The sequence below is a fragment of the Homo sapiens genome, chromosome 9, assembly GCF_000001405.40.
Source record: "Homo sapiens chromosome 9, GRCh38.p14 Primary Assembly".
NCBI classification, from domain to species: Eukaryota; Metazoa; Chordata; class Mammalia; order Primates; family Hominidae; genus Homo; species Homo sapiens.
In genome coordinates this window covers 91,089,365-91,117,320 of record NC_000009.12, presented here as the reverse complement: position 1 = coordinate 91,117,320, position 27,956 = coordinate 91,089,365, and the positions used below count along the sequence as shown (strand labels likewise).

The following is a 27,956-nucleotide window of genomic DNA, read 5'->3' as shown; positions in this document are numbered from 1 at the left end:
ACCTCAGGAGTTTGAGACCAGCCTGGACAACATAGTGAGACCCCGTCTTAAAAAAAATACAAAAATTGGCCAGGCATGGTGTCGGTACCTATAGTCCCAGCTACTTGGGGGGCTGAGGTGGGAGGATCACTTGAGCCCAGGAGGTCGAGGCTGCAGTGAGTTGTGTTGGCACCACTGCATTTCGGCCTGGGGACAAAATGAAACCCTGTCTCAAAAAAAAAAAAAAAGAAAAAGAAAAAAAAAGTGGGTCCTTAGGGGTTGACTGAGTCCTAAGTGCAAGCCCTGGTGAATGGGAGGAAGGGCTTCATAGAGGCTTCCCATGGTGTTCACCCCATTGCCTGCAAGGACACAGGTTGGAGGCCCCCTGGAAGCAGACTTGCAGACAGGGAGCCTGCAGCGCCTGGGTCTTGGACTTCCCAGCCTCCAGAACTGTAAGAAAGAGACTTGTCTTTTTCATACATTACCCATCTCAGGTATTTTATTACAGCAGCACAGACGGACTAAGACACCTCTCTTCCCTCGTCTTCCAGTTTTCTGTGTGTAAATCCTCAATGGGTGTGAAGCGCAGAATGGGAAGGCAAGGTGCGCAGAATGAGCTCACTAGAGAAATCACACTTTTCTTCTCCCTTGTGGTTTCACCTGCAGTCCCTAGTCTCCTACTGATGAAGAAGGGGCCTGGCCATAAGGTGTCCTTCCACCCCTTGGTTCCCTCCATACTGTCTCCCTCTTCGACCCCTCTCCTAAATATGTTTCCAATGACACAGGAGGTTAATGCTGGCTGCCCCAGGACTGAGTGAGAGACAGATTCCTTCCATGCCCAGAGGAGCCTGGCTTCAGGGTGAAGGGTGAGCAAAGTTCCTGTTGAACTCGTGGCTTCTTGGAGCAGGATTTCCAAGAATTGATACTCCAAACCAGTATCCCAGGACCTGGTCTGCCAGGCACACAGCCAATGTGTGTTTCTTTGCCAGCTGAAAAACAGCAGGCAGCAGCCACAGCTAATGTTTTTGAGCATTTCCTTCTTGTCTGTCTCTCTCCTCAAAGCCTAACAGACAGTGTCAGGGGCACGTTGTACAAAATCATGAACTGAAGCATTTTCTCAAAAGCTCCTCTCATCTAATGCATTTAGATATTGCACAAGGGAAAAGATGCAGACACCAGCCTCACACTCCCTGCTTTCTCTAACTGGGGACATCTCCTACAGGTGACATTTGAAATTCAGTCTCTCTTGGTGCCACCTCAGGATTTAACCCCAGCCTGAGTCCCCCTCCCCATCGTCTCCTTTCAAAACCTGGATCACCTAGGAGATGAACTTTCAGTTTTCTGGAATGGATCAGGGAGGTGAGCCACTGCATCAGGGGAGGGTGTTGACATGACTATGTGCCTTCTCTTTTCTGGTGGAGCCCTTTGTAGCAGAAAATAATATTTACTATGGAAACAACATAAATGAGTCTTGGATGAGGACTCTAGGTTTGCATTGTTAAGATAATAGGCTGAAATTTTTGCACTATTTTTTGATAGTTCTAAATAGTCCAGGCATTTAATATGCATTGAAGTAAGCAGGTCACAGCCTGTGGCTTAGAAATAATAGAGCCAATTTGTACTCCTACCAGCAGTGTAAAAGCGTTCCTATTTCTCCACATCCTCTCCAGCATCTGTTGTTTCCTGACTTTCTAATGATCACCATTCTAATTGGTGTGAGATGGTATCTCATTGTGGTTTTGATTTGCATTTCTCTAATGACCAGTGATGATGAGCTTTTTTTCATATGTTTGTTGGCTGCATAAATGTCTTCTTTTGAGATGTGTCTGTTCATATCCTTTGCCCACTTTTTGATGGGGTTGTTCATTTTTCTCTTGTAAATTTAAGTTCCTTGTAGATTCTGGATATTAGCCCTTTGTCAGATGGGTAGATTGCAAAACATTTTTTCCCATTCTGTAGGTTGCCTGTTCACTCTGATGATAGTTTCTTTTGCTGTGCAGAAGCTCTTTAGTTTAATTAGATCCCATTTGTCAAACCTGCATGTTCTGCACATGTATCCCAGAACTTAAAGTATAATTAAAAAAAAAAAAGAAATAATAGCACCATTCCATGACTCGTGTTGCATGGGGCCATCATCGCTTCGGCCTCTCTGTGCAGCACTTCAGACTTTGGGAATGTGTGTCTAGCATTGATGCTGAGCGTGGATTCAATCAGAAAGACCTATGTTCAAACACTGGCGTTTGTTTGTGTGACCCAGGCAGGTTAACGCTCTTAGCCCTAATTTCCTCAGCTGTAAACCAGGCAATAATGACAGTCCCTATTGTATAGAGTTCTGAAAATTAAATATGCTCAGTGCCTGACAAAAAGTAAATCTTCAACAAATGTCAGTTCTTATTATTAAGGTTTTTACCGCATCCTTGCTCAATGATTTGGAGCTTCTGTGTTATTCTCTGCAGAGGAAAATTGGCTTTGTGCTTGATTAAAACCTATCTTGGTTACCCCAATGTCCTGATGCTGTTCAGATGGTAAATAGTCTTCCCAGGAACAGGTAGCTCTTTAATTCTAGAGAGAAGAAAAGGAGGCTGGAGGGTTCTGAGTTTCTCCAGGGGTGTGCGGGGTTGACTGGGTGTAGGAATCATCATTGACCACTTTGTTTTCCAAGAAGGCCCACAAAGGGCTCTACAGTTAATGTTTTATCAGAGATCAATAGGGAGTCTCCTCCATTGTACATTCAGTGAACACTTGCAAAGGAAATGGATGAATGAAAGAATGAACAAATGAATAATTTCCTTCTTGGTTTTCTCTTGAAAGGAAATATATAGTCATCCCTCTGTATCCAAACAGGATTGTTTCTAGGACCTCCCACTCTCAACCCCATGGATACCAAAATCCACAGATGTTCAAGTCCCCGTTTGCATACACCCTATGCACATACTCCGTTATACTTTAAATCATCTCTGGACTACGTATAATACCTAACGCTATGTAAATAGTTGTTGTGTTACATTGTTTAGGGAATAATGATGAGAAAAAAGCCTGTACATGTTCAGTACAGATGCAACCATCTTTTTTTTTTTTTTGTAATATTTCTTATTCACAGTTGGTTGAATCCAGGGATGCTGATTCCAGATTTGGAGGGCCAACTGCACTCCATGGTTAGCACATATGCAGAGAGCTGCATGAAGCTGGGTCTAGATCTCAGCCCTATCATTGACCTTGGGCATATTGCATGGCCCCTTTGTACCTTCCCACCTTCATTTGTCCACCTGGCGTCACACCCAACTCACAAGGATGGTGGGGTTAAATGAACCATTAATGCCAGGCACTCAGCACAGGGCTTGGTGTGTTCATAACAAGCATTACCAGCAGCAGCTGTGTCATCATGATCAGTTTTCTCTGCCTCACCTCTCTCCACCTGAAGCAGCTCTTGGATGGGAAAGGTAGAGATGGTGGTCAGAGCCAGCCTTGGTGCCATTGTGAGTTTCAAATAGTGGTGCCCCATAATTCCACATATGTCTGTTGGCCGAATGTATTTAAATGAAGTATCTATTTATGCTGAAGTCTATATTTGAGTATCTGTGTGTATCTGCCCTACAGAACCCTCATCCCTTCTGTACGGAGTCGTATGTATTTAGATCCGTTTTCTTCCTTACCATGCCCCTTACTGTTGAGTACTTTTCATGCTGGTGGAGATGGTTTAAATTCTTGAAGATTTTGAGTGAGTGAAGGGCATCCAATTGTTTTTCTCCTCTATCGCATTTCCCACTGGGGAAAGAAAGGCTGAATGAATACCTTTTTAAGCTTTCCCCAAATAAGTCATTTCTAGGCTCTAAGATAGCAGGAGAAATGTCAGCACAAATGCTAATTAAGAAATAAGTAACATCGCAGACCAAAAAAAGAAACAGAAAACTAATCCTCCCTATTGGTGGTGGAAGTGTAGGTTCTCCCCATCAGACACCAGTCCAAGAAAAGAAATAGGGTAGAAATGATGTGTTTATATTGTAAGGAAGCTGTGGGTCAGGCTTTTACACATCTGATATCTGTGCGCTGGTATCATAAGTTGTGGGAACGAGAGACATAACCTGTGTTCTTTCTGGTAACCAGTTGTTGTGGTCTCTGGGAGGGGGCTCTGAGGGTGCTCTGGGAACCATCTTCCTGTCATTTTCAGAGGCTTTGAAATGGGAAATGCACTGTGTGATGTGATGCTGTTTTAACATTGCCCAGGGTTTGAATGATGAATGTTTACAAGTGCAGGAGGCTCTGCAGAAGCCACCAAGCTGTGTACCTATCAGTTGCCTGGTTTATCATTGCACAGAATCTGGGTTCTTTGGAGGAAGAGGCCAATGGAAGCCAAGGTTCTTAACTTCATTTTGGCCGATTCAATGATGTTATAAACCTGAGGCAGGGTCACATCTAGGAGATATACGTCGGTCCCCAGACTTGAGTGAGTTATCAGAGAACAAAGCTTGGCAGGACTCAATTTGGCTTGAATGGAGAAGACTGGGCTGGACTTTTGGGAAGCTGCAGGATTGGCTGTGCCAGAGAGTAAAGAGGAGGATGTACCAGTGGGAAATAGCTCATGAAACACACAGGGAGGGGAGGGGAGAGAGCTTGGCACCTGGCAAGTCTGCCGCAAGAGCGGCGCTATCCAAGGGAAATGTAACGTGAGCCACATATATACCTTATTCTCCCGTGTTGTTTTTATTCCTTGTTTTCTAAGTGGAGCTTTTCTGATGTGCAGACATCCTTGGTCTAGTTTGTGTTTGACCAGCTCTTGGGGACACCTTGACCAGCTCTTGGGGACACCTTGACCAGCTGTCATGTGTGATTTTAGGGCTTTCACCTTTGCAAAGGGCTATACCAGCTGCCCAGTCTTCCTGGAGCTCCAGAGTTATTTTAACTGATGACTTTTCAGAAATGCAGGAAGGATGTAGGTCACCTGATACTCAGGAAGCCATGTGAGGCTTGGCAATTGGATGCTTGGAGCCAATCCTTTGTCACTCACGGAGCTTTTGTGGGAATGTGGCATTATTTAATTGAGCTAACAAAGCTCATTACCAGAAAGATCTGGGGAAGGACTGGCCAAGGACAGGTAAGATGAAGCCTCACCAGGAAAGAGAAGCAAGGAAATCATAACAGAATAAAACCAAAATGAAACACAGTACCTGCCTTCATTCTGAACTAACTCGTTCCTGACCTGCAGCCTAACCTGGAGCCCTGGTCCCTGTGCTCTGCCAGAGGAAGCCTGTGAGCTAGGACAGAGCAGATGCTGCCTCTGATTCCAATGCCAACACCCGTGACAAGCATGGACACTGAGCAGCCTGCACACGCATGAATCCAAAATCTGGCTCTGGCCCGACGGACAGTCAAGGAAAGAAAGAAGTCACAACATAATTTAATACTCGATAAGTACAGGGATACCCTGCTTTATTGCACTTTGTAGATATTGCATGTTTTATGAAGGCTGGTTTTGTGGCAACCCTGCATCAAGCAAGTCTATTGATGAGCACCATTTTTCCAACAGCATATGCTCATTTTGCACCACACTTGGCACTTGGTAATTCTCACAGTATTTCAAGCCTTTTCATTATTATATCTGTTATGGTGATCTGTAATCAGTGATCTTTGAAGTCACTGTTATAATTGTTTTGGAGGCACCACAAACTGCACCCGTATAAGATGGCGAACTTAATATACGTAGTGTGTGTTCTGATTGTTCCACACACTGGCCATTCCCCCATCTCTTTCCTTCTCCTCAGACCTCCTTATTTCCTGAGACAAAGGAATAGTAAAACTAGGCCAATTAATAACCCTACAATGGTCTCTAAATGCTCAAATAAAAGGAAGAGTCCCCCATTTCTCACTTTAAATCAAAGCTAGAAATGATTAAGCTTAGTGAGTAAGGCATGTCTAAAACTGAGATAGGCTGAAAGTGAGGCCTCTTGCACCAAATGGTTAGCTAAATTGTAAATGCAAAAAAAAAGTTGTTGAAGGAAATTTAAAGTGCTACTTCAGTGAACACATAAATGATAAGAAAATGAAAGAGCCTTATTGCTGATGTGGAGAAAGGTTTAGTGACCTGGATAGAAGATCAAACAAGGCAAAATATTCCCTTAAGCCAAAGCCTAATCCAGAGGAAGGCCCCAATTCTCTTTAATTCTAGAGTTAGAAGCCTGAAGGAGGTAAGGAAGCTGCAGAAGAAAAGTTGGAGGCTAGCAAATGTTGGTTCTTGAGGATTAAGGAAAGAAGCCATCTTCATAACATAAAAGTGCAAGGTGAGGTAGCAAGTGCTGATGTAGAAGCTGCAGCAAATTATCCAAAAGATCTAGCTAGGATTATTGATGAAGGTGGCAGTTCTAGACAACAGATTTTCAGTGTAGACAAAACAGCCTTCCATTGTAAGAAGATGCCATCTAGGACCTTCTTAGCTAGAGAGGAGAAGTCAATGCCCGGCTTCAAAGCTTCAAAGGACAGGCTGACTCTCTTGTTAGGAACTAATGCAGGTGGTGACTTTAAGTTGAAGCCAACACTCATTTACTATTTCCAAAGTCCCAGGGCAGTTAAGAACTCTGCTAAATCAACTCTGCCTGTGCTCTGTAAATGGAACAACGACACCTGGACGGCTGCATATCTGGTTTACACCATGGTTAACTGAATATTTTAAACCCACTGTTGAGACCTACTGCTTAGAAAAAAAAAAAGTTCTTTCAAAATATTACCACTCATTGACAGTGAACCCAGTCACCCAAGAGCTCTCATAGGGAGTAACAAGGAGATTAATGTTTTCATGCCTGCTAATACAACCATCATTCTTTTTTCTTCTTTCCAGCTTTTAGGTTCAAGGGGTACATGTGCAGGTTTATTACATGGGTAAATTGCATGTCACAGGGGTTTGGTGTACAGATAATTTTGTCACCCAGGTAATCATCAGAATAGCCAATAGGTAGTTTTTTAATCCTTACCCTCCTCCCACCCTCTTCCTTCAAGTAGGCCCTGGTATCTATTGTTCCCTTCTTTGTGTCAATGTGTGCTCAATGTTTAGCTCCCACTTATAAGTGAGAACATGCAGTATTTGGTTTTCTGTTCCTGAATTAAATTGCTTAGGATGATGGCCTCTAGCTACATCCATGTTGCTGCTAAAGACATGATTTCATTCTTTTTTATGGCTGCATAGTATTCCATGGTGTAAATGTACCACATTTTGTTTATCCATTCTACCACTGATGGGCACCTGGGTTAGTGCCATGTCTTTGCTATTGTGAACAGTGCTATGATGAATGTATGTGTGCATGTGTCTTTATGGTAGAATGATTTATATTCCTTTGGGTATATACTCAGTAATGGGATTGCTGGGTTGAATGATAATTCTAAGTTATTTGAGAAATCTCCACACTGCTTTCCACAGTGGCTGAACTAATTTACATTCCCACCAACAGTGTATGTATTCCCTTTTTTCTACAACCTTGCCAGTATCTGTTATTGTTTGACTTTTAAGAACAGCCATTCTGACTGCTATGAGATGGTATCTCATTGTGGTTTTGATTTGCATTTCCCTAATGATTATTGATATTGGGCATTTTTTTTCATATGCTTGTTAGCCATGTGTATTCTTCTTTTGAGAAGTGTCTGTTCATATCCTTTGCCCACTTTTTTTGCTTATTAATTTGTTTAAGTACCTTATAGATTCTGGTTATTAGATATTTGTTGGATGCATAGTTTGCAAATATTTTTTCCCCATTCTGTAGGTTGCCTGTTTTCCCTGTTGATGGTTTCCTTTGCTGTGCAGAAACTCTTTAGTTTAATTAGGTCCTACTTGTTAATTTTTTGTTGTTGTTGTTGCAATTGCTTTTAGAATCTTCATCATGAAGTTTTTATCAGGGTTGATGACCAGAATTGTATTTAATAGGTTTTCTTGTAGGGTTTTTATAGTTTTCAATTTTACATTTAAGTCTTTAATCCATCATGAGTTGATTTTGATATATAGTGAAAGGTAGGACTCTAGTTTCAATCTTCTGCATATGACTAACCAGTTATCCCAGCATCATTTATTGAATAAGGAGTCCTTTCCCCAGTGCTTGTTGTTATCAACTTTGTTGAAGATCAGATGGTTATAAGTGTGGGGCTTTATTTCTGGGCGGTCTAACCTGTTTCATTGGTCTATGTATCTGTTTCTTTACTAGTAGCATGCTGCTTTAGTTACTGCAGCCTTGTAGTATAGTTTGAAGTTGAGTAGTGTGATGCCTCCAGCTTTGTTCTTTTTGCTTAGGATCGGTCTGGCTATTTGGGCTCTTTTTTGGTTCCAAATGAATTTTAGAATAGTTTTTTCCTAATTCTGTGAAAAAAGCATCGTTGGTAGTGTGATAGGAATAGAATTGAGTCAGTAAATTGCTTTAGGCAGAATGGCCGTTTTAACAATATTGATTGTTTCTATCGATGAGCATGGAATGCTTTTCCATTTGTTTGTGTCATCTTTGATTTCTTTCAGCAGTGTTTTGTGATGCTCATTGTAGAAATCTTTCACCTCTCTGATTGGCTAGGTATCAGAAATAAAATACATAGGTATTTTATTCTTTTTATGGCCATTGTAAATGGGATTGTGTCCTCGATTTAGCTCTCAGCTTGGATGTTATTGGCGTATATAAATGCTACTGGCTTTTGGACATTGCTTTTGTATCCTGAAACTTTGCTGAAGTTTTAAAATCAGATTTAGGAGCCTTTGGGCAGAGACTATGGGGTTTTCTGGGTATAGAATTATATTGTCTCCAAAGAGAGATAGTTTGACTTTCTCTCTTCCTATTTGGATGCCTTTTATTTCTTTCTCTTGTCTGATTGCTCTGGCCAGAAGTTCCAGCACTATGTTGAATAGGAGTGGTGAAAGTGGACATCTTTGTCTTGTTCCAATTCTTGATAAGAATGTTTCCAGCTTTTGCCCATTCAGTACAATGTTGGCTGTTATTATTTTTTATTCCATTTTGTATGTCGTCTGTTTACTCTGTTGATAGTTTCTTTTGCTACAACATCATTCTTTCTTATAATGTTTGCCCATGTTATTTTGAGGTATGTTCCTTCAATGCCTAGTTTGCAAAACCACCATTCTGCAGCCCACGGATCAAGAAATAATTTCAACTTTCAAGTCTTATTGTTTAAGAAATGCATTAGGCTGGCCGGGTGTGGTGGCTCTCGCCTGTAATCCCAGCACTTTGAGAGGCTCAGGTGGGTGGATCACGAGGTCAGGAGATCGAGACCATCCTGGCCAACATGCTGAAACCCCGTCTCTACTAAATATACAAAAAATTAGCCGGGCATGGTGGCGGGTGACTGTAGTCCCAGCTACTTGGGAGACTGGGGCAAGAGAATGGCGTGAACCTGGGAGGCAGAGCTTTCAGTGAGCCGAGATGGTGCCACTGCACTCCAGCCTGGGCAACAGAGTGAGACTCCGTCTCAAAAAAAAAAAAAAAAAAAGAAAAAAAGAAAAGCATTAGGTAAGGCCACAGCTGTCATAGATAGTGATTCCTCTGATGTATCTGGGCCAAGTAAATTGAAAACCTTCTGGAAGGGATTAACCATTTTAGATGCCATTAAGAACATTTGCGATTCATGAAAGGTGGTCAAGATATTGATATTCTCAGAAGTTTGGAAGAAGTTGGTTCCAACCCTCACAAATGACTTTGAAAGGTTTAACACTTCAGTGGAAGAAGTCACCGCACATGTGGTGGAAACAGCAAGAGAACTAGAATTAGAAGTGGTGCCTCAAGATGTGACTGAATTGCCGCAATCTCATGATCAAACTTGAATGGATGAGGAGTTGCTTCTTATGGATGAGCAAAGAAAATGGCTTCTTGAAATGGATTCTACTCCTGGTGAAGATGCTGTGAACGTTGTTGAAGTGACAACAAAGGACTTAGAATATTACATAAATGTAGTTGATAAAGCAGCAGCAGGGTTTGAGAGGACTGACTCCAATTTGAAAGAAGTTCTACTGTGGGTATAATGCTGTCAAACAGCATCACATTCTATGGAGAAGTCTTTTGTGAAAGGAAAAGTCAATCAATATGACAAAGTTCACTGTTGTCTTATTTTGAGAAATTGCCACAGCCACCCCAGCCTTCAGCAATCATCAACATCAAAGCAAGACCCTCCATTAGCAACAAGATTATGGCTCGCTGAAGGCTCAGATGATCATTAGCATTTTTTAGAAATAAAGTATTTTTAAATTAAGGTATGTACATTTTTTTAAGACATAATGCTATTGCATGCTTAATAGACTATAGAACACTATAAACATAATGTTTGTATGCATTGGAAAACCAAAATATTAGTGTAACTAGCCATATTCTGATATTTGCTTTATTGCGGTTATCTAGAACCAAACCTGAAATATTTCTGAGGTATGTTTGCAACATTCTCAAAAAATGCAAACCTTAAACCCTGAATTTGAGTTACAGAAAGCCAGAGACACATATATACTTACATATGTACATTTATTCAGATTTATCGAAGACCGAGTTATTCTGCATAAAGTTCCAAGTGGCATTAAATTTCATTTAGAAATAAGAATTTTTGAAACAAATGTTTATAAGCCATATCATAATTTTCCTTCTCTTTTTAAAAAACATTTTCTGAAAACAACTTGACCTTTTGCTTAGTGACTTAGCATTTTTTTTTCCCAGGAGAGGTGCCCGATGAGCTCCCAGTCATGTGGTTCAGGGCGGGCTCTGGAAGACTCACAGAGGAGACTCCTCCGAGAAACCAAGAAGGTTTCTGTCCAAGTCGGGATCTGCTCTGCTCAGGATGCTCCTCCAACACACACAGTGAAAAACTGAGCACCTAGAGAGCAACACCAAAAACCCATGGCCAATAATGGAGAGCCAAATCAGGTGACAAGTTACCCCCAGACCCTAAAATGCACGCGGTGGTGATAGGGCACCAACAACCACAGAGTCCCTGGAATTGACATCCATGAGGGAGGAGATGGGGGGAAGTAATGAGGCAGAGCCCAGCCACCTAAGGCAGGAGACCCCAAATCGGCTAACCAGAGAGGGCGGCTGGTGGATTGAGAACAGCAACTGTAATATGCTGAGTGAGTCCATGACCCTGCCTGAGATGAACCCAGGCTACGCATGGTTCCTACCATCAGGTCACATCATACTGGGTGACATGCAGGCACTTTGACCATCCTAATAGTCCAAGGGGCAGTGGAGCCATTAGAATCAGCTCGGCCTCCAGGCATGCCTTCATCCCTGGGTCAGTGTGAAGGTGCGGAAGCTGTGGTTTTGCAGAGGAGATCACTTAAGAAGGCCCGGGCCTCACCTAAACTCTTTAATTGAGGGCCTCTGGGGCGGAGTCCCAGGCCTGCTGATTTCTTCATGCTCCCAGGCTAAGTCCAGAAGTAGTTAAAGTTGAGGACCACTTCGGTGAGGGAGAAAAAAAAGCATACTTTTTGAGGACTCTTCCCAAATAAGATTCCTTTTTCCTCTGGTTTGTTACTATTTGTTAGCATCTGTGAGTGAAAGGGATGTGAGGGTTTGATTTGGCCTAAATTCCCCTCTAGAAAATTCCCTTTGGGAAGAAAAAAGGCTCTGATCACCAACCAAAGGCCATATATTCTAGTCTCGGCCCCCACCACTTGCTGGGGTCCTCTGGGGAGCTGTGGAAAGTTCTGGCATCCTGCCGCACCTCAAGGCTCTGCTGTGGTCATCTTGGGTTCTAGATGCCCCCGAGGGTGGTAATGTACAGTTAGGGCACCCTGGACTCCACGCAGCCTCAGTAAGCCTTTGCAGGGCAGGACACTCTTGTCCCTGTGTGCAAGTCATTGCTTCATGTAATTTGCGTAAATACAGGCTCTTTTCTACCCAAGATTAATCTTTTTAATTAGTTAAGCTGCTATGTTATAGGAAACAAACATTGACCCTTAAGTACATAATTGGCACAATTGAAACAATTAAATTATTTTCCCCAGGAGAGCATTCAGCAAAGCAATTCTTGCTGTAGAAGGAACAGCACAAAAAGCTGGAAGGAAACTGAGGCATGCGTGAAAGATAACTTGTCAGTGTTTGCAGTCTACTGAGATCCCCGCTGCAAGAAAAGGCAGGATTTCCACTTGCTTCTTGGCCCGCCTCTGTTGTCCAGAATCCAGGACAGGTGACAAGAGAAGCAGATGTGATCTGCACAAGCTGGCTCAGCTGGGTTGGGAGTTGCTCTTCCTGGACAGGCCGGGAAGGGTGCTGGAGGGGAGGGAGGAGGAGAGAGGTTTTAGGGGAGGGGTGCTGAGCAGTCAGGGACCTGTAAGGTCACATTTCTTTCAGGTATTCTTTCTAGGTGTACTGAATGGGAACATTGTCTGTCATCCCTAGACTGCATTAAAGACCTAAACTGCTTCCATTTATCTTTGGTTGTTGGACTGAAGTTTCTAATGTACCTGGTGACACAGAGCACAGCTCTGTGTTTTTATGGGTTGCTTAGTTCAAGATCTGGATGAAAGAAGCCTGAACCCATTTTTGTGCAAAAGCCTAAGGGTGTACAGCAGGGATGCTCAAACTTTTGTTTTTATAAGAACCCACTTTTATATTAAGTAGGTTTTCTGTGTGTGAGAAGAAATGCTTGAACATGGAAATGAAAAGTTCTAACTGTAGGATGGAGTTTACAGTGAGTATGAACCTCCCTCCCCACCTCCAATCCCAGGGCCCCTTCCATCTGTACTCACACCTGTAATCCCAGCCCTTTGGGAGGCCGAGGCGGGTGGATCACTTGAGGTCAGGAGTTCATGACCAGCCTGGCCAGCATGGTGAAACCCTATCTCTACCAAAAACACAAAAATTAGCCAGGTGTGGTGGCACATGCCTGTAATCCCAGCTACCTGGGAGGCTGAGGCAGGGGAATCGCTTGAACCTGGGAGGTAGAGGTTACAGTGAGCCGAGATTGCACCACTGCACTCCAACCTGGGCGACAGAGAGAGACTCCGTCGCAAAACAAACAAACAAACAAACAAACAAACAAACTTGTGAAAGAATGAAAAGCTTTTCCAATTATCAGAAAGGAAAGACACCTACAACCCATAATATTGTCGACTCTCTACTGAAGCAGGCATTCACAGAGGCTATGAGTGGAGTATAAATTATTGCCATCTCTTTGGGGGAAGATGAGACACTATCTAAAAAAAATTTAAAAGAAATATGTCACTTCCTGGAACTTATCCAACAGATCTACTTACATAGTTCTTAGGAGAAAAGGCTCATGGCATGTGGGCTCATAGTTGCATAGGCAAGGGGGCTTTCCCCAAGGCCATCTTTGTGCCCCCAGTGGCTTAGTGTGTTACCTTCCTTGTAATTTGCATTTCATAATTATTCATTCTAGCAAAATTCCTTTCATTTTGCCACTTTCTAGTTGTTTGGCCTTGGAAGATCATTGAGTTTTTCTTCATCTCAGTTTTCTCATTGGAAAATTGAAGTGTGCACTATTTGCTGTCTAAGACTACTCTGGTTACCATGACTCCATGATAAATTACCCCAAAATATGGTGGCATGCAACAATTGTTTTTTATGTGCATGAATTCAGTGGGTTGGGAATTCAGACGGGAATTCAACTGAAAGACACTGAGGCTGGGGGCTTGCATACCCTCTAGCCTTACTCATGTTATGTGTCTGGTGATTGGAGCTGGCTGTTGGCTTGGGGGCCTCAGTTCTTCCCCGTGCTGTCACTCGATGTCAGCTAGCTGGGGTTCCAGCAAGCATCCATGAGAGACAGAAAACCAGGTGTAAACTCTATGGCTTTTCCACAACTCCCCATTTAGCTTTGGAAGTTATACAGTATCATCCCCACTGCATTCTGTTAGTTAAGATACTTATAAAGTTCTGCCCAGGCTCGAGGGAGAGGTACAGCAGTGTACTAGGGCTGCCATGACAAAGTACTATAGACTGGATGGCTTAAACAACAGAAATTAATTTTCTTACAGTTTTGAGAGTAGAAGTCTGAGATAAAGGTGTCAACAGGGTTGGTTTCTCCTGAAGCCTGTCTCCTTGGCTTGTGGATGCTGTCTTCTCCCTGTGTCTTCATGTGGTCATCCCTCTGTGTCTGTCTGTGTTCTAATCTCCTCTTGTAATAAGGACACTGTCATATTGGGTTAGGGCCTACCTTAAGGACCATATTTAGCCTTACTTATCTCTTTAGAGACCCTGTCTCCAAAGGCAGTCACATTCTGAGATACTGGGGGTTAGGGCTTCAACATATGAATTTTGGGGGAATACAATTCAGCTCATAACAGGAGGGAACATAGATCCCACCTCTTGAGAGAAGGTTAGCATCACACGATACAGAGAGCTTGTGGGATGGCTCATACCAACATCATTGTCTTTGGAAAATAAAATCAGCCAACATGACCTACAACACCATCCTGATACAATTTAAATGACATAGATGAAGGTGATTAATAATGACAGCATCATACTGGTGTAATGTACGTGCAGTAACTTACTGGCCTCAAGGATAGGCCTCTGGTTGAAGTGCCCACATGCCCGGGATACATCTCATCACCTAGGTGGATGATCTGAGCATCTACTGTGTGTAAAGATACACATGGCTGGGATTTTGAACATGAATAGACGTGACCCTTTGAATTAACCTTGAAAACAACTTGTGACTCTAATGAGGTTTTTTTGTTCCTATCTCCCATGACATAGGGCTCAACTCTAAGCTTTCAGAAAGCATCTCTTGAAAATAAAATCTTGGATGTTGTAGCAAGTGCTGTGTACATGCTCTTCAGCTCCTAGCCCCATCCTACTACTGTGAAAGTGCATGCCTGTAAACTGCCACCCTCCAGCATCTTTTTCTGGCCATTAGAGCCTGATTTTCCTGAAGATTCAGCAGGTTGGAATGCCAGAGAAGTAATGCCCTACCTGCACCCAGCAGTGTTCCACCAGTGGCTATGGGAGTGGCTCACACACTCCAGCTACCTTCCTTCATGGGACTGGAACCTGGAGTTCCCAAGAGGGATTAGGCTCTAGTTGTCCATGGGGCAGCTGTTTTACTGTCACCTTCCCTGTCCTGTCTCTCTTCCTGTCTCCACTCCCTACAGTGCTCCCAGAGATAACTTCCCAAATTTGCTGCCTGCCCTTGGATGTTATTTTAGGGTTGGCTTCTGAAGGAACATAAACGAAGACAGACAGATGTGCTGGGTAGCTATGTGTAAGATCACACTGAAACATAGCCAAGAACAAGGCACTCAGCCACTCCCAGGTTTAAAATCAAGTTTCCTACTTTGTCTCTCTGGTCTGAATCTGAGTGAAAGCCCAGGCTCCTGCGTCACCTGGGCCACCTAAGGATCTCCCTCCAGCCTCTGGGTGCTGAAGCTCCACCTGCCCTCACCACATCACAGGAAACCGCGAGCACATCCTCCTGCCTTCTCCAGCAGTCTCTTCAGTGAGCGCCTGCAGAACTGCATCTAGAGCACCGGGCCAATATTGTCACCTTCCCTGTCATGGCTTCCTTCCTGTCTCCACTCCCTACAGTACTCCTGAGAGCCGGGAGCACTCCCTGGAGCACTCCCTGATTCGTTTTATCTTCTGCACAACTGTTTGGCTGGAATAGGAAGCAAATGGCATGGAATTTGCATATGAAAAGCCATTCCCACCTGTGTCCTTGTGTCTGTAAGGATAGGAGGATCCAATCTTCTTATCTGGTAATTGGTCAACTGGGACTGAGGGTTAGTGGGAAACCTGTGTGCCCCTACAGGCAGGAGGGGGACGGGGTGACCCTCTCCGGTGGCTCTCAGTCTGCCAGTGTCCCTGGACTGTTTCCAAGCCCAGGGTTCATCTGGGACAACTGGGCAGGGGGCTATCGCTGCAGCCAGCCCCTTCCTGGGTGTACTGATGAATCAGGCTTCCCTGGGGCTCTGGGGAGGGTGATACCCCTTGCCCTCCCCTTCCAGAGCCTTGTGCACTCCAGGTGCTCACCCTGGAGCTGCCTCCCTCCAGTCTTCCAGACTCAGGCTTAGCTGCCTCTCAGCAGCATTTCCCTTTGCCCACAGAGGCCTCCTCTCCTCTCCCAGCTGAGTGTTCACCACTCTTTATTTTATTTTAAACTTTGTTTGGGTTAAAGTGTTTTCTTTCCTCCCTGACCGTTTTTCTCATCTTCTGCTGCCTTTTCCTTCCAGTTGCGGGTTCTTAGGTTCTGAGCCTGGGAAGCTCAACAGTCCATCTGGTGTTTGTAGATGGCCTCAGGGGACCTGACGCATGTCCACATGCCCTTTGGAGCTGAGGGGTGGATAGGACACCTGGGGGCACACAGTCCCCCACCCCGTGCTGCTGGGACAGGACACACTGACCCGAGGCCCCTTCCGGCTTCCTGTGTGGCTCCTGGCCTGGCCATGGGAGTTATGAAATCAGAACTGGTGACTGCCACATGCCTGGGGCCTCAGCCACAGCCAAAACCTAAACCAAATGAAGTCAAATCCCCACCTTAACCCATCTGGAAACAAAAACAGTCCCAAAGAAGAGAGAGACGTGAGCCATTTTGGACAGGTGTGTGATTCTGAAATTGAGGGAATGAGCAAGAAACAGAAATGCGCTCACCAGACCAGTTGCTGCATCCACTGGGCAGTCTGGAGCCGTGTGTGTGTGTGTGTGTGTGTGTGTGTGTGTGTGTGTGTGACGCTGACGAAGAGTTTTGAAACACTGAACTGACAGGGACTTAGAGGTGGAACTGTGTGACCAAATGCTTTTAAAAACGATTAAACTAACTTTACAGAATTCATCCTGAGGAGGGAGAAATGGGCCCTGTTGTAAGGCTCTGGATGTGGGAATTAAAATGCAGGTACTGGCTTGGCCCAAGAGCTGAATGCACTCTTAAGGAAACTGAATCTTTGCCACAGTCGGCAAGCTCAACAGCGATGATTAAACATTTAATCAGACACATGATACTTTGTTGTGTGTTCATTGTGGCTACAGGAAAGGGTGCTGTAACAGATCTTTAAATAGCAAACCCGCGGCTAAATTTCACTTCATCCATCAAAGGCTGCTGCTATGCAATGACCTAATTTTAGCAGCTTATCAATCCCCCAGTGCTTGTTAGTTGATGTAACTTTGATCCTCTGATGCTAGATGACTTTTGTGCTGAATATAGCTAGAATTTAATATGAATCACTTGGATGGCTGCCCAGCTGAGCTCAACTGTATGAGAGAGAGAGAGAGAGAGAGAGAGAGAGAGAGAGAGAGAGAAATAGAGGATTCGGGCTACCGAGGTGAATAATAATATACACATAGGCTTCCTTTTTTTTCTGGGGCAATCAACTCCATATCTCTAGGCATGTATTTCAAGCACAATACCCTTGGACTTTTGCTTTATTTCTCCCTCCTAAACAATGAGACTCTTCTCCCGGCAAACATACATAGGAGGTAATAATAAGCTGCTACTGCCAAGATCTGATGACAGTGTCAATAATTGCAAGACATTTTAAATGAATTTTTTCTAAGCAAATCATTGCCTTTTGCAGTGAGCGTTTATTTCTACATAGGAAGAGAGGAGCTGAGATGTTACGAAGGAGCAGAGAATATCTTTAACAGCCCTCCTCCTCTTTCATTTTCTAAATTATTAGATTGTGCTTTTTTGGCTTTCCTACTGTCTGGCTTCTCATCTGAATTTTGAGATTTCCTTCCATCCTTCTGGCTCTTTGGCAGAACCACCTGTGTCCCAGGCATCCTTCCTGGACGGATGTGGCTGTTGCCTCACTCTTCTCCATTTGCCCTCATTGACATTATTTCTACCCATAAAATAGGGTCCTGTGGTTTATGTTCTTCATTTTCTGAACCTGGCAGGAAAGCTTCCTAGACAGGAGGCCTGGGCAGACACTGAAACACACCGGACTCCTGGATGGGCCTGGCCCCGGACAGCTTGCTGGGGTCTTGCCCACCCTGTCACTCCACCACTTTCTCATCCAAGTTGGGAGAGTCTTTTCATTTCCTCTAATTTCTCCTTCCAGGATTTAACCACTGCCTGCTTAAAACCTCCTCCACTGCAGATTGGGGGTGGGGGGGTTGGGAGGAAATACAGCTTAATCTGACTTGGCCACTGGTTAGCAGCTTGGTAGAGGAGGAAACAGGACTCCCCATCTCAGGGAAGTCTGTGGATCTCAGGGTATTTCATCTCCCTGGGATTCCTGTGCTATTATCTAGGGTGTCCTTTGAAGAAGCTGTCATGGTACAGGAGGCCTTTTCAATGGATATAAGATGCCTTAAGATCCTGAGAAGAAAGATTCCTTTAAAAAGAGATAATAAGCTTCTGTAATAAAATGTCCCAAATGAAATTTACTTTAAATACACACACTGTTCAAACTAGCTTCTAGGTAGCTTGAGAAATGGCAGTGCCACAGCAGCGGTCCCCAACCTTTTTGGCGCCTGGGACCGGTTTTGTGGAAAACAGTTTTTCCATGGATGGGGGTAGGGGAAATGGTTTTGGGATGAAACTGTTCCACCTCAGATCATCAGGCATTAGTTAGATGATTCTCATAAGGAGTGCACAACCTAGATCCCGCTCATGCTCAGTTCACAGTAGGGTTTGTGCTCCTATGAAAATCTAATGCCACCACTGATCTGACAGGAGGCAGAGCTCATGCGGTAATGCTCACTCACCCGCCACTCACCTCTTGCTGTGTGGCCCAGCCCCCAACAAACCATGGGCCGATAGTGGTTCATGGTCCAGGGACTGGGGACCCCTAATCAATGGGACATTGTGGCTAGAGAGGAACAGAACATTCTATTTTACACTCTAACATTTCAGTAATAACAAAATACTATTTCTACAGACCAGCCCTGTCAACACCTTCATCTTGTTTCACATTTGTGAAGGTCGGGGAGGCATCTGGAGCTTCTTGATGTGTCAGCTCGGAATGCTGCCTGTGGGCTGGGTCGGCTTCAGGCCTGCAGGTCAAGGTAAGGGTGCATCTGTGAGTGCCTGTAGAGCCAGCTCATTCTGAGATTCTGTCCTGGGAAAATCCCGCAGTGGGAGAGTTGGGGAGGGGCAAGGAGGGTCACTTGAGATTCACAGGAGAGGATCTCCGATGTTCATGCCATCCAATGCTCAGACTCATTGGTCATGGTTCAGCTATAACTGTAACGGGGCCAGGTGCTTTGCCTTCTACCCACCAGAACAGATAAGGTGGAACACAGTTTGAGAGGCAGATGAGAAACTCCCTACAGTGAGTATGAAATAATGATGCAAGCACCATAATAATTCAAAGAAACACTTATAGAATGCTTACTGTACCCTCAGGTGCTCTCTAAGTGCTGTCTATAGATAATCTCATTTAATCCAATTCCCTTAGAAGGTAAGTACAGTCATCTCTCAGTATCCATGGGAGACTGGTTCTGGTACCCACTGCAGATACCAAAATCCACGGACGCTCAAATCTCATATAAAGTGGTGTGATATTTGCATATGACCTATGCATAGCCTCCTGTATATGTTAAATCATCTCTAGATTACTTATGACATCTAATACAGTGTAAATGCAATGTGTGTTGTACTGTATTGTTTACATACATTACATACAGTGGCAAAAAAAAAAGTCTGTACATGTTCAGTGCAGACTCAATCATTTATTTTTTTCCCCCAAATATCTTCTATCTGAGGTTGGTTGAATTCATGGATGCGGAACCTGTAGATATGGAGGGCCAACTGTATTATTGTTTCTACTTTATAGAAGAGTAATTGGAGGCCCAGTGAGGTCAGGTAATGTACCCTAGGTCACACAGCTAGGAACTAGAAGAGTCAGGATTCAAACTTAGGCAAAGTCCAGAATTTGTGCTTTGGGACCACTAGGCTATACGGTCTCTAATTGACTAGCAATCTCCAACAAATGTTTTTTGACTCCTCCAAAAATGACCTGCTACACCTCAGTGAAAGCAGCCAATGGCAGGCTCTGTGTTAAAGCCCTGGTCAGTAGTTGCTGTTGGCTATGAGGGTGGCATTGTGCTCTGGTGCCTGATGGCCCCAGATGTGTTGAAATCCAGGCTGAATCGTGGCCCTGGTACGAATCAGAGGTTTCAGTCTGAAGGTAGTTTTAGTCCATGGGTTTGAGCTGAGAGTCTGTGTCTGGGCAGTGCCAGCACTGATATTGACAATACTGTTGTATCTGGCTTAAGTTGGTCATCCCAGTGACATTCCTCAGGATTGGCTTGGATTTGTGGGGGAAAAGGGCACCAGTGGGGGAGAGGTTTTCTGCTACGTTGAAGGGACCACAGCCTGGAATCATGTGGGAGACACTGGAGTAATCCATCTCCAAAGCAGGATAGGCAGACCCCAGCACCACAGAGCTCAGCTCACAGAGCAGCCCAAGGCAGGGGAAGGCTCTCCAGGTTGCAGACTTCACTTTTTGGTGGTTAGCAAAGGATAATAGGACCCTTAAAAGATCCTAAAACATAGAACAGAGACGAAGAGTTCATGAACGGAAAATGATCAAATGCCTGGAATGAAGCCTATAAAAGGAAGGAGTATTGAGAACATCTCAGAGGAAGCCAAAGCAGGTGAATGCAAATTGGAAGAGAGGTCAAGGGGTGAGAGCAGAGGGAGGGAACTGCCTGTGATGTACTGAACTGTGTCCCCCCTAAAATTCATATGGTGGACCCCCAACTCCCAGTACCTCAGAATGTGACTGTGTTTGGAGATAGGGCCTTGAAAGAGGTGATTAAAGTGAAATGAGGTCATAGGGTGGCCCTAGCTCAATCTGACTGGTCTCCTTCTAAGAAGAGGAGATGAGGACACAGGCACAGAAGAAAGGCCATGTGTGGACATAGGGAGAAGATGCTATCTACAAGGCAAGGAGAGACCAACCCTGATGACAACTTGATCTCAGACTTCCAGCTTCCAGAACTATGAAACGTTATATTTCTGTTGTTGAAGCCACACAGTCTGTGGCACCACAGCCACGCAGCTCCAGCTGATGAATATACCGCCCTTCTCACCTCTCCAGGGCCAGTTGGTGTCTTATGGAGCTGCCTTTAGGACTCACAGGTGTAAGCTGTGCTCCTAGAAAACTGCTATCGCCTTTTAAGAAGAGGGGCATTTGGCCCATTTCCACTCAAATGCATAAACACTGCAATCTCAAAGTGCTTGTTCATTGGTTCACTTGTTCACCAAGTTCCTCTAATGGCAACCCCAGTCCACACAATTTTCTGCCCCTTGCCAGCCCTGTTCTTACGACTCAAAGGTGTGTGCTGGTGGAGTACTGGCACAGGAGGCGAGGGGCGTGTGGCATCCTTTGGGATACCAGGAGGGAAACATCAGTAGCATCTGGGTAGAGTGGGCTTTTCCAGGGGTAAAGGAAGCCTGAGTGTGGTTCAGCCGGATGCAGGCTGTTTCTGAATGTTGGAGGAGAAGGTTTGTGGTCACTGCTGAAAAGGAGCAGGAAACGGCCATGCCGGTCCAGCATGAGCAACCGAGCTCCCCGTTCCGACTGGACATTGATCTTGTCCCTGTGGGCCATGCATGTGACTCGGGGGCAGGGCTGTGGGGCCTGGGCTCTGCAGGCATGCATGGGCACGTGGTCATAGAGACTAGACTCCACCTCTCTGTCTCTCATTCCACATGGGACTGAGGGTGGTAGAGGGGTCAGAATTGCCATTCTGAGTCGGGGACAGAGAGCCCACAGTTCCAGAGAGAGGGACACCGAGTATCAGCCAGCAAGCTGCAGCCATGACCCAGGGGCTCATATCTCACTGGCAGGAGTCTCAGCCCTGCAGCTGGCATAGCCAGGTGTGAAGTGGGGGGCTCCAGACAGGGCTCCCTGCCCTCTGGATTCAGGGCTGTTCCCAGCTACCTGAGCATGTCAGTTCTTCGGGCAGCCATTGCTGCCTGGAACCCAGAACTTCCTCCACAGTGAGCTGGGACCTATCCCCACCTGCTCCCCACTTGTGCGACACTCTTGAAGCTCACGAAGCAAGCATTTAAGGCAGTTTGGGTTAGAAAGGCTTACATCTCAAAAAATAATAGCTTCTCTGACACCTCACATGGGCCCAACTATTCAGAATTCCTTTTTTTTTTTTTTTTTCCATTTGGCTGGTTCTGTGTAGTTCTTCAAACCTTGGCATGCTTATTTCACTTGTTGGGATAGACAGACCAATAAGCTTGCTGATCCCACCACTGGGGACAGCAGCATCCACCAGGGACTGGCATATTCAGGTGAGCTCTCTTGATGGATTGATATCCACTGTATGTTTTTTGGTTTGAGGTTACCATGAGGCTTGCAAATACTATCTTATAATCCATTATTTTAACCTGATAACAACTTAACACTATTTGTATAAACAAACAAACAATCAAAAAGAAAACTAATAAAAACTCTACATCTTAACTTCATTCTCTCCACCATCCCCCCACTTTTTAAATTTTTATTGTTTCAATTTTACTAACTATGTCTTGAAAAGCTGTTGCAGTTATTTTTGGTTGGTTCATCTTTTAGTGGTTCCACTTAGGATATGAGTAGTTTATGCACCACAGTTACAGTGGTATAATATTTTGTGTTTTTCTGTGTATCTATTATGACCAGTGAGTTTTGTACCTTCAGGTGATTATTTATTGCTCATTAATGTTCTTTTCTTTCTGATTGAAGTACTCCCTGTAGCATTTCTTGTAGGACAGGTCTGGTGTTGATGAAATCCCTCAGCTTTTGTTTGTCTAGTAATGTCTTTATTTTTCCTTCATGTTTGAAGGATACTTTTTGCTGGATATACTATTATAGGGTAAAAGTTTTTTCCTTCTGCACTTTAAATAATGTCATGGCACTATCTCCTGGCCTGTAAGCTTTCCACTGAAAAGTCTGCTGCCAGGCCTATTGGAGCTCCATTGTATGTTATTTGTTTCTTTCCTCTTGCTGCTTTTAGGGTCCTTTCTTTATCCTTGAATTTTGGGAGTTTGATTATTAAATGCCTTGAGATAGTCTTCTTTGAAATCTGCTTGGTGTTAAATCTGCTTGGTGTTGTTCTACAGCCTTCTTGTACTTGGATATCGATATCTTTCTCTAGATTTGGGAAGTTCTCAGTTATTATCACTTTGAATAAACTTTCTATCCGTATCTCTTTCTCTCTCCTCTGCAAGGCCAATAACCTTAGATTTTCCCTTTTCAGGCTGTTTTCTGGATCCTGTAGGTGCGCTTCATTGTTTGTTATTCTGTTTTTGTTTTGTCTCCTCTGACTGTGTATTTTCAAATGGCCTGTCTTCAAGCTCTCTAGTTCTTTCTTCTGTTTGATCAGTTCTGCTATTAAAGGACTCTGAAGCATTCTTCAGTATGCCAGTTGCATTTTTCAGCTCCCAAATTTCTGTTTGATTCTTTTTAATTGTTTCAATCTCTTTGTTAAATTTATCTGATAGGATTCTGAATTCCTCCTCTGTTATCTTGAATTTCTTTGAGTTTTCCTCAACACAGCTATTTTGAATTCTCTGTCTGAAATATCACATATCTCTGTTTCTCCGGGATTGGTCCTTGGTGCTTTATTTAGTTCATTTAGCGAGGGCATGTTTTCCCGGATAGTGTTGATGCTAGCAGAGGTTCTTCAGTGTCTGGGCATTGAAGAGTTAGGTATTTATTGTAATCTTCACTGTCTGGGTTTATTTGTAGCTGTCCTTCTTGGGAAGGCTTTCCAGATACTTGAAAGGACTTGGGTATTGTGATCTAAGCTGTATCTGTTTTGGCGGATGCTCCAAGCCCAGTAGCACTGTGGTTCTTCCAAACCTGTAGAGGTACTGCCTTTATGGTTTTGGACAATATCCAGGATAATTCTCTGGATTACCAGGTAATCCTTCCCTTAATTTCTTCCAAACACACCATTTCTCTCTGTGTTGGGAGCCACCTGAAGCTGGGGCAGGGAATGACACAAGCATCTCTGTGGCCACCACTACTATGACTGTGCTGGGTCAGATCTGAGGCCAGGAAAGCACTGAGTCTCTCCCAAAGCCTGCTGTAACCACTCCCTGGCTACTGCCTATGTTCGCTCAAGGCCCTGTAGCTCTAAAATCAGCAGGTGGCAAAGCCAGCTAGGCATGTGTCCTTCCCTGTAGGGCAGCGAGGTCCCTCAGGCCCTGAGTGGGTCCAGAGGTGCTGTCTGGGAGTCAGGAAGTAGAGTCAAAAATCTTAGAAGTCTATCTAGTGTTCTGTTGTATTGCGGCCGATCTGGCACTCAAACCACCAGATGCAATCCTTCCCACTCCTCCCTCTTGTATTAGTCTGTTCTCCCACTGCTAATAAAGACATATCTGAGACTGGGTAATTGTTAAAGGAAAGAGTTTTAATGGACTCACAGTTCCACATGGCTGGGTAGGCCTCACAATCATGGTGGAAGGCAAAGGAGAAAAAAATATGTCTTATGTGGTGGGAGGCAAGAGAGCATGTGCAGAGGAATGGCCTTTTTATAAAACCATCAGATCTCATGAGACTTATTCACTATCACCAGCACAGCATGGGAAAAGACCTGCCCCCATGATTCAATGATCTCCCACCGGGTCCCTCCCACGACATGTGGGAATTATGGGAGCTACAATTCAAGATGAGATTTGAATAGGGACACAGCCAAACCATATCACCTCCCCTTTACAAAGTCAGAGGAGCTGTAGCTTGCTTAATGTTCCACAGAGCTGCCAATGACTGGCCAGATAGCTAGGGAGCCCCTCGCCCTACAGCCCCTGCCACTCCAGGCCACAAGAAATACTGCCAGATTGTCTCCAATGTTCCCTTAAGGTCCAAGGGCTCTTAAGTCAGCTTGTGGTGAATGTTGCCTGGCCTGGGACTCACCTTTTAGGGCAGTGGGCTCCCTTCTGGCCCAGGGCAGGTCCAGAAATGCCATCTAAGAGTCAAGGCCTGGAATCAAGGACTCTAAGAGCCTAATTGGTGCTCTACACCCCTGTGGCTGTGCGGTTACCTAAGGTGCAAGAAAGACAAAGTCCCCTTTACTTTTTCTTCTGCTTTTTTCAAGCAGGAGTTTTGCCCTGTAGCCACCACAGTTGGTAATGTGCTGAGTCTCACCTGAAGCCAGCAAATATCAGAGGCTCACCAAGGTGCTCAATGTAGTGCCTGGGTATTATTGCTGGTTATTCAGGGCCCAGGGTCTCTTCAGTTAGCAAGTGATGAATGCTGCCAGGACTTTTTTTTTTCTTCTTCTTCAAGGCAGTGGGCTCCCTTCTGGCCCAGGGTGTGTCTAGAAATGTCGTCTGGGAGCTAGGGCCCGGAACAGGGGCCTCACAACTCTGACTGGTGCCCTATCTTGATGTGGCTGGGATGGTATCCAAGATGCAAGGCAAAGTCCCCCCTACTTTCCCTCTCCTCTCCTCAAGTGGAAGGAAGGGGTCTCTTTTGGAGCCATGAGCTGTGTATCCCGGGGCTAAGGGTTGGGTGATGCTAGTACTCCCTTGGCTGCCCCAGCTGGTATCTCAGTATGTCTCGTCCCCAACATCCCTGTCCACTGTCCCTGGGTCTAGTTCAACACTAGGACCCACCTAAGAGTTGCAGTCCTTATGTCCTAGACTTCCTTTCAAATTTACTTGGAGACACAGAGCACTGTAGCCCTTGGTGGCAGTGGCGAGGTTTGCAGGCACTTAAGTTGGTACCATTCCCCTCTGGCTAGGGCTGGTTTAAACACTCCCTCAATGGGTGGGCATCAGCTGAGTTTGATTGGGTTTTCCTTTCTCCTCTAACAGGATTGCACTGCGTTCAATGTCTCACAATTGCTGTGTTCTCTCTCCCACGGCATCTAGAGACACTCTCTGCACCAGGCCACTGCTGCCCAGAGTAAGGGAGGGGTGGTGTCTGTGATCCAGGACTGTTTCTCTCTTTTTTTTTTCTTTTGAGATGGAATCTCAAGCGATTCTCCTGCCTCAGCCTGCCGAGTAGCTGGGACTACAGGCACGTGCCACCATGCCTGGCCAATTTTTGTATTTTTAGCAGAGATGGAGTTTCATCATTTGGCCAGGCTGGTCTCGAACTCCTGACCTCGTGATCTGCCCACCTCGGCCTCCCAAAGTGCTGGGATTACAGATGTGAGCCACTGCTCCTGGCCTTTTGTTTTGTTTTGTTTTGTTTTTGAGACGAAGTCTCACTCTGTCATCCAGGCTGGAGTGCAGTGGCATGATCTCAGCTCACTGCAACCTTTGCCTCCTGGGCTCAAGTGATTCTCATGCCTCGTCAGGCTCCGGAGCAACTAAAATTACAGGTGTTTGCCACCATGCCCGACTACTTTTTGTATTTTTAGTAGAGATGGGGTTTCGCCATGTTGGCCAGGGTGGTCTCGAACTCCTGACCTCAAGTGTTCTGTCTGCCTCAGCCTCCTAAAGTGCTGGGATTACAGGAGTGAGCCACCGTGACTGGCCCCTCATGGTGAGTTTTGGAACAGTAACCTCAGGATTCACCTGTCTACCTGTGTGCATGGAGGAAGGTGTGTTCAGGGCCAGCCGGCATGGCAGGGCATGTGTTTTTTGACCTCACCTCCTCTCCAGGTGGGAACTGCGGTGTGGTTGGTGTCACTGCTGTGCTGCCTTTTCTGTGTTCGCATGAAAGAGAAGGAAGGAGGAAGAGACAGGAGGTGGCTTACCTGGGCATTCTGCTCAGGGGATGGGGTCACCAGGACTTTTTCAGCAGAACTTCCTCCACCAGTTCCTCTCTCAGTGACAATCCTCACCCTACATGGGGTTTCTGATCTGGGTAGTAAGCCTGCACTCTGCAGCTGCCCAGAGGTCCATCTAAGAACATGCACCTTGTGATCAGCTTCTTGAAGGCCCCAGTGGGGCTTCTAAGTGGCCACCACCTTCTCGATACCCATCAGCTTTCAGTGCCACCCTGTAACTTGCTTGATGTTCTGCAGAGCTGCCAATGACTGGCCAGACAGCTAGGGAGCCCTGCAGAGTACCATGACCCAGGTCACCAGGTCACCCCTCTGTCCTGGCTGATCATCCTTGTGATGGTCATCTAACCTGGCAATAGGTTATATGACCTGGCAACAGGGGTTATAGAAAAAATGCTCCCCACTCAGTTGATGGCATGTTTTATACCCAGTGATGCCTGTGTTTACAAGAGCAGAGTTGATGAATAAGCCTGTGCTGACCTCCATGGGGAGACGGCCGGTTTTTGAGGCTCAGGACACCTTCTATTTGTTGTGGACACCTGGCCCCGCGTGCCTCCCTGCTCTGCATTTTGTAGTAGCAGCCCAGTGTCGGCTGAGACATTAGCCCTTAAAGCATGCCCTCTTTTGGGAAATGAACTGCTAGTTGGCTTGAAGGTAGGAGGCTGGAGCAGCTGCTGATTTAAATGTCATCAAAGTCTCAGGACACTCATGTAGCAGGCTAACATTTATGTAGGAGTAACAACCGGATGGATATAGTCAGGGCAATATCTTCAGGAGGGAATGTGCAGTTTTCTTCTGGTTAAGCTCTAGAATTACTGCCACTTTATTTGTTTAGGAAGCATCAGAAAAAGGGCGACTGAAACATCGTTGGTCATCCTGTGGAGTGAGAGCTTGATGCCACTGCCTGCTGAAGTGCACCCTCTCTTGGCGAAGGCACACTCTGAAGCCAAATGCACTCTCATCTCTTTGAAGAGTCCCCTTCTCTTCTTACTAAATGTGAGCTTGGGAGGACCTCTCCCTCCTGCAGAGTGCTGGAGACAGGTTTCCCAGAAGAGCCATCTTCTTCAGCAACATTTTCTTTTCCTGTGTAATCAGAGCCCTGCAGGAGCTTAATGCAAAGGAGAGAGAATTACACTTTACAGCAGTAGTTCATGCATGGTTTCTGTAGCTGGGGGCTGTGCAGGCCGTTTGCTCCCAAGCTGTAGTATTCTGGGGAAAGGTGTCAAAGTGAGGCTCGTGGGCTTGTGCTGTCAAGGGGCTAAATTGATCAAATCCCTCCAAATACTGATACATTGAAGAGGAGAAATCTTGCCTCTCTGCAAAGCTGGCCCCAAATGTCACTGTCCATTGCTGTGACAGGGGACCTGGTAGATGCAGGGCATC

The 27,956-nt window shown here is 45.1% G+C and overlaps 1 long non-coding RNA gene across 1 annotated transcript in view; it reads left to right on the top strand.

Annotated features, from left to right (window-relative positions):
• Positions 1-27,956, top strand: part of LINC02937 (long intergenic non-protein coding RNA 2937) — an 86,180-nt gene that overhangs the window by 45,960 nt on the left and 12,264 nt on the right. The window contains exons 2-5 of the long non-coding RNA NR_184105.1: positions 10,650-10,856; positions 11,939-12,624; positions 14,655-15,652; positions 18,773-18,899. This is a non-coding gene — a long non-coding RNA (long intergenic non-protein coding RNA 2937). The remainder of the gene's footprint in view (positions 1-10,649; positions 10,857-11,938; positions 12,625-14,654; positions 15,653-18,772; positions 18,900-27,956) is intronic.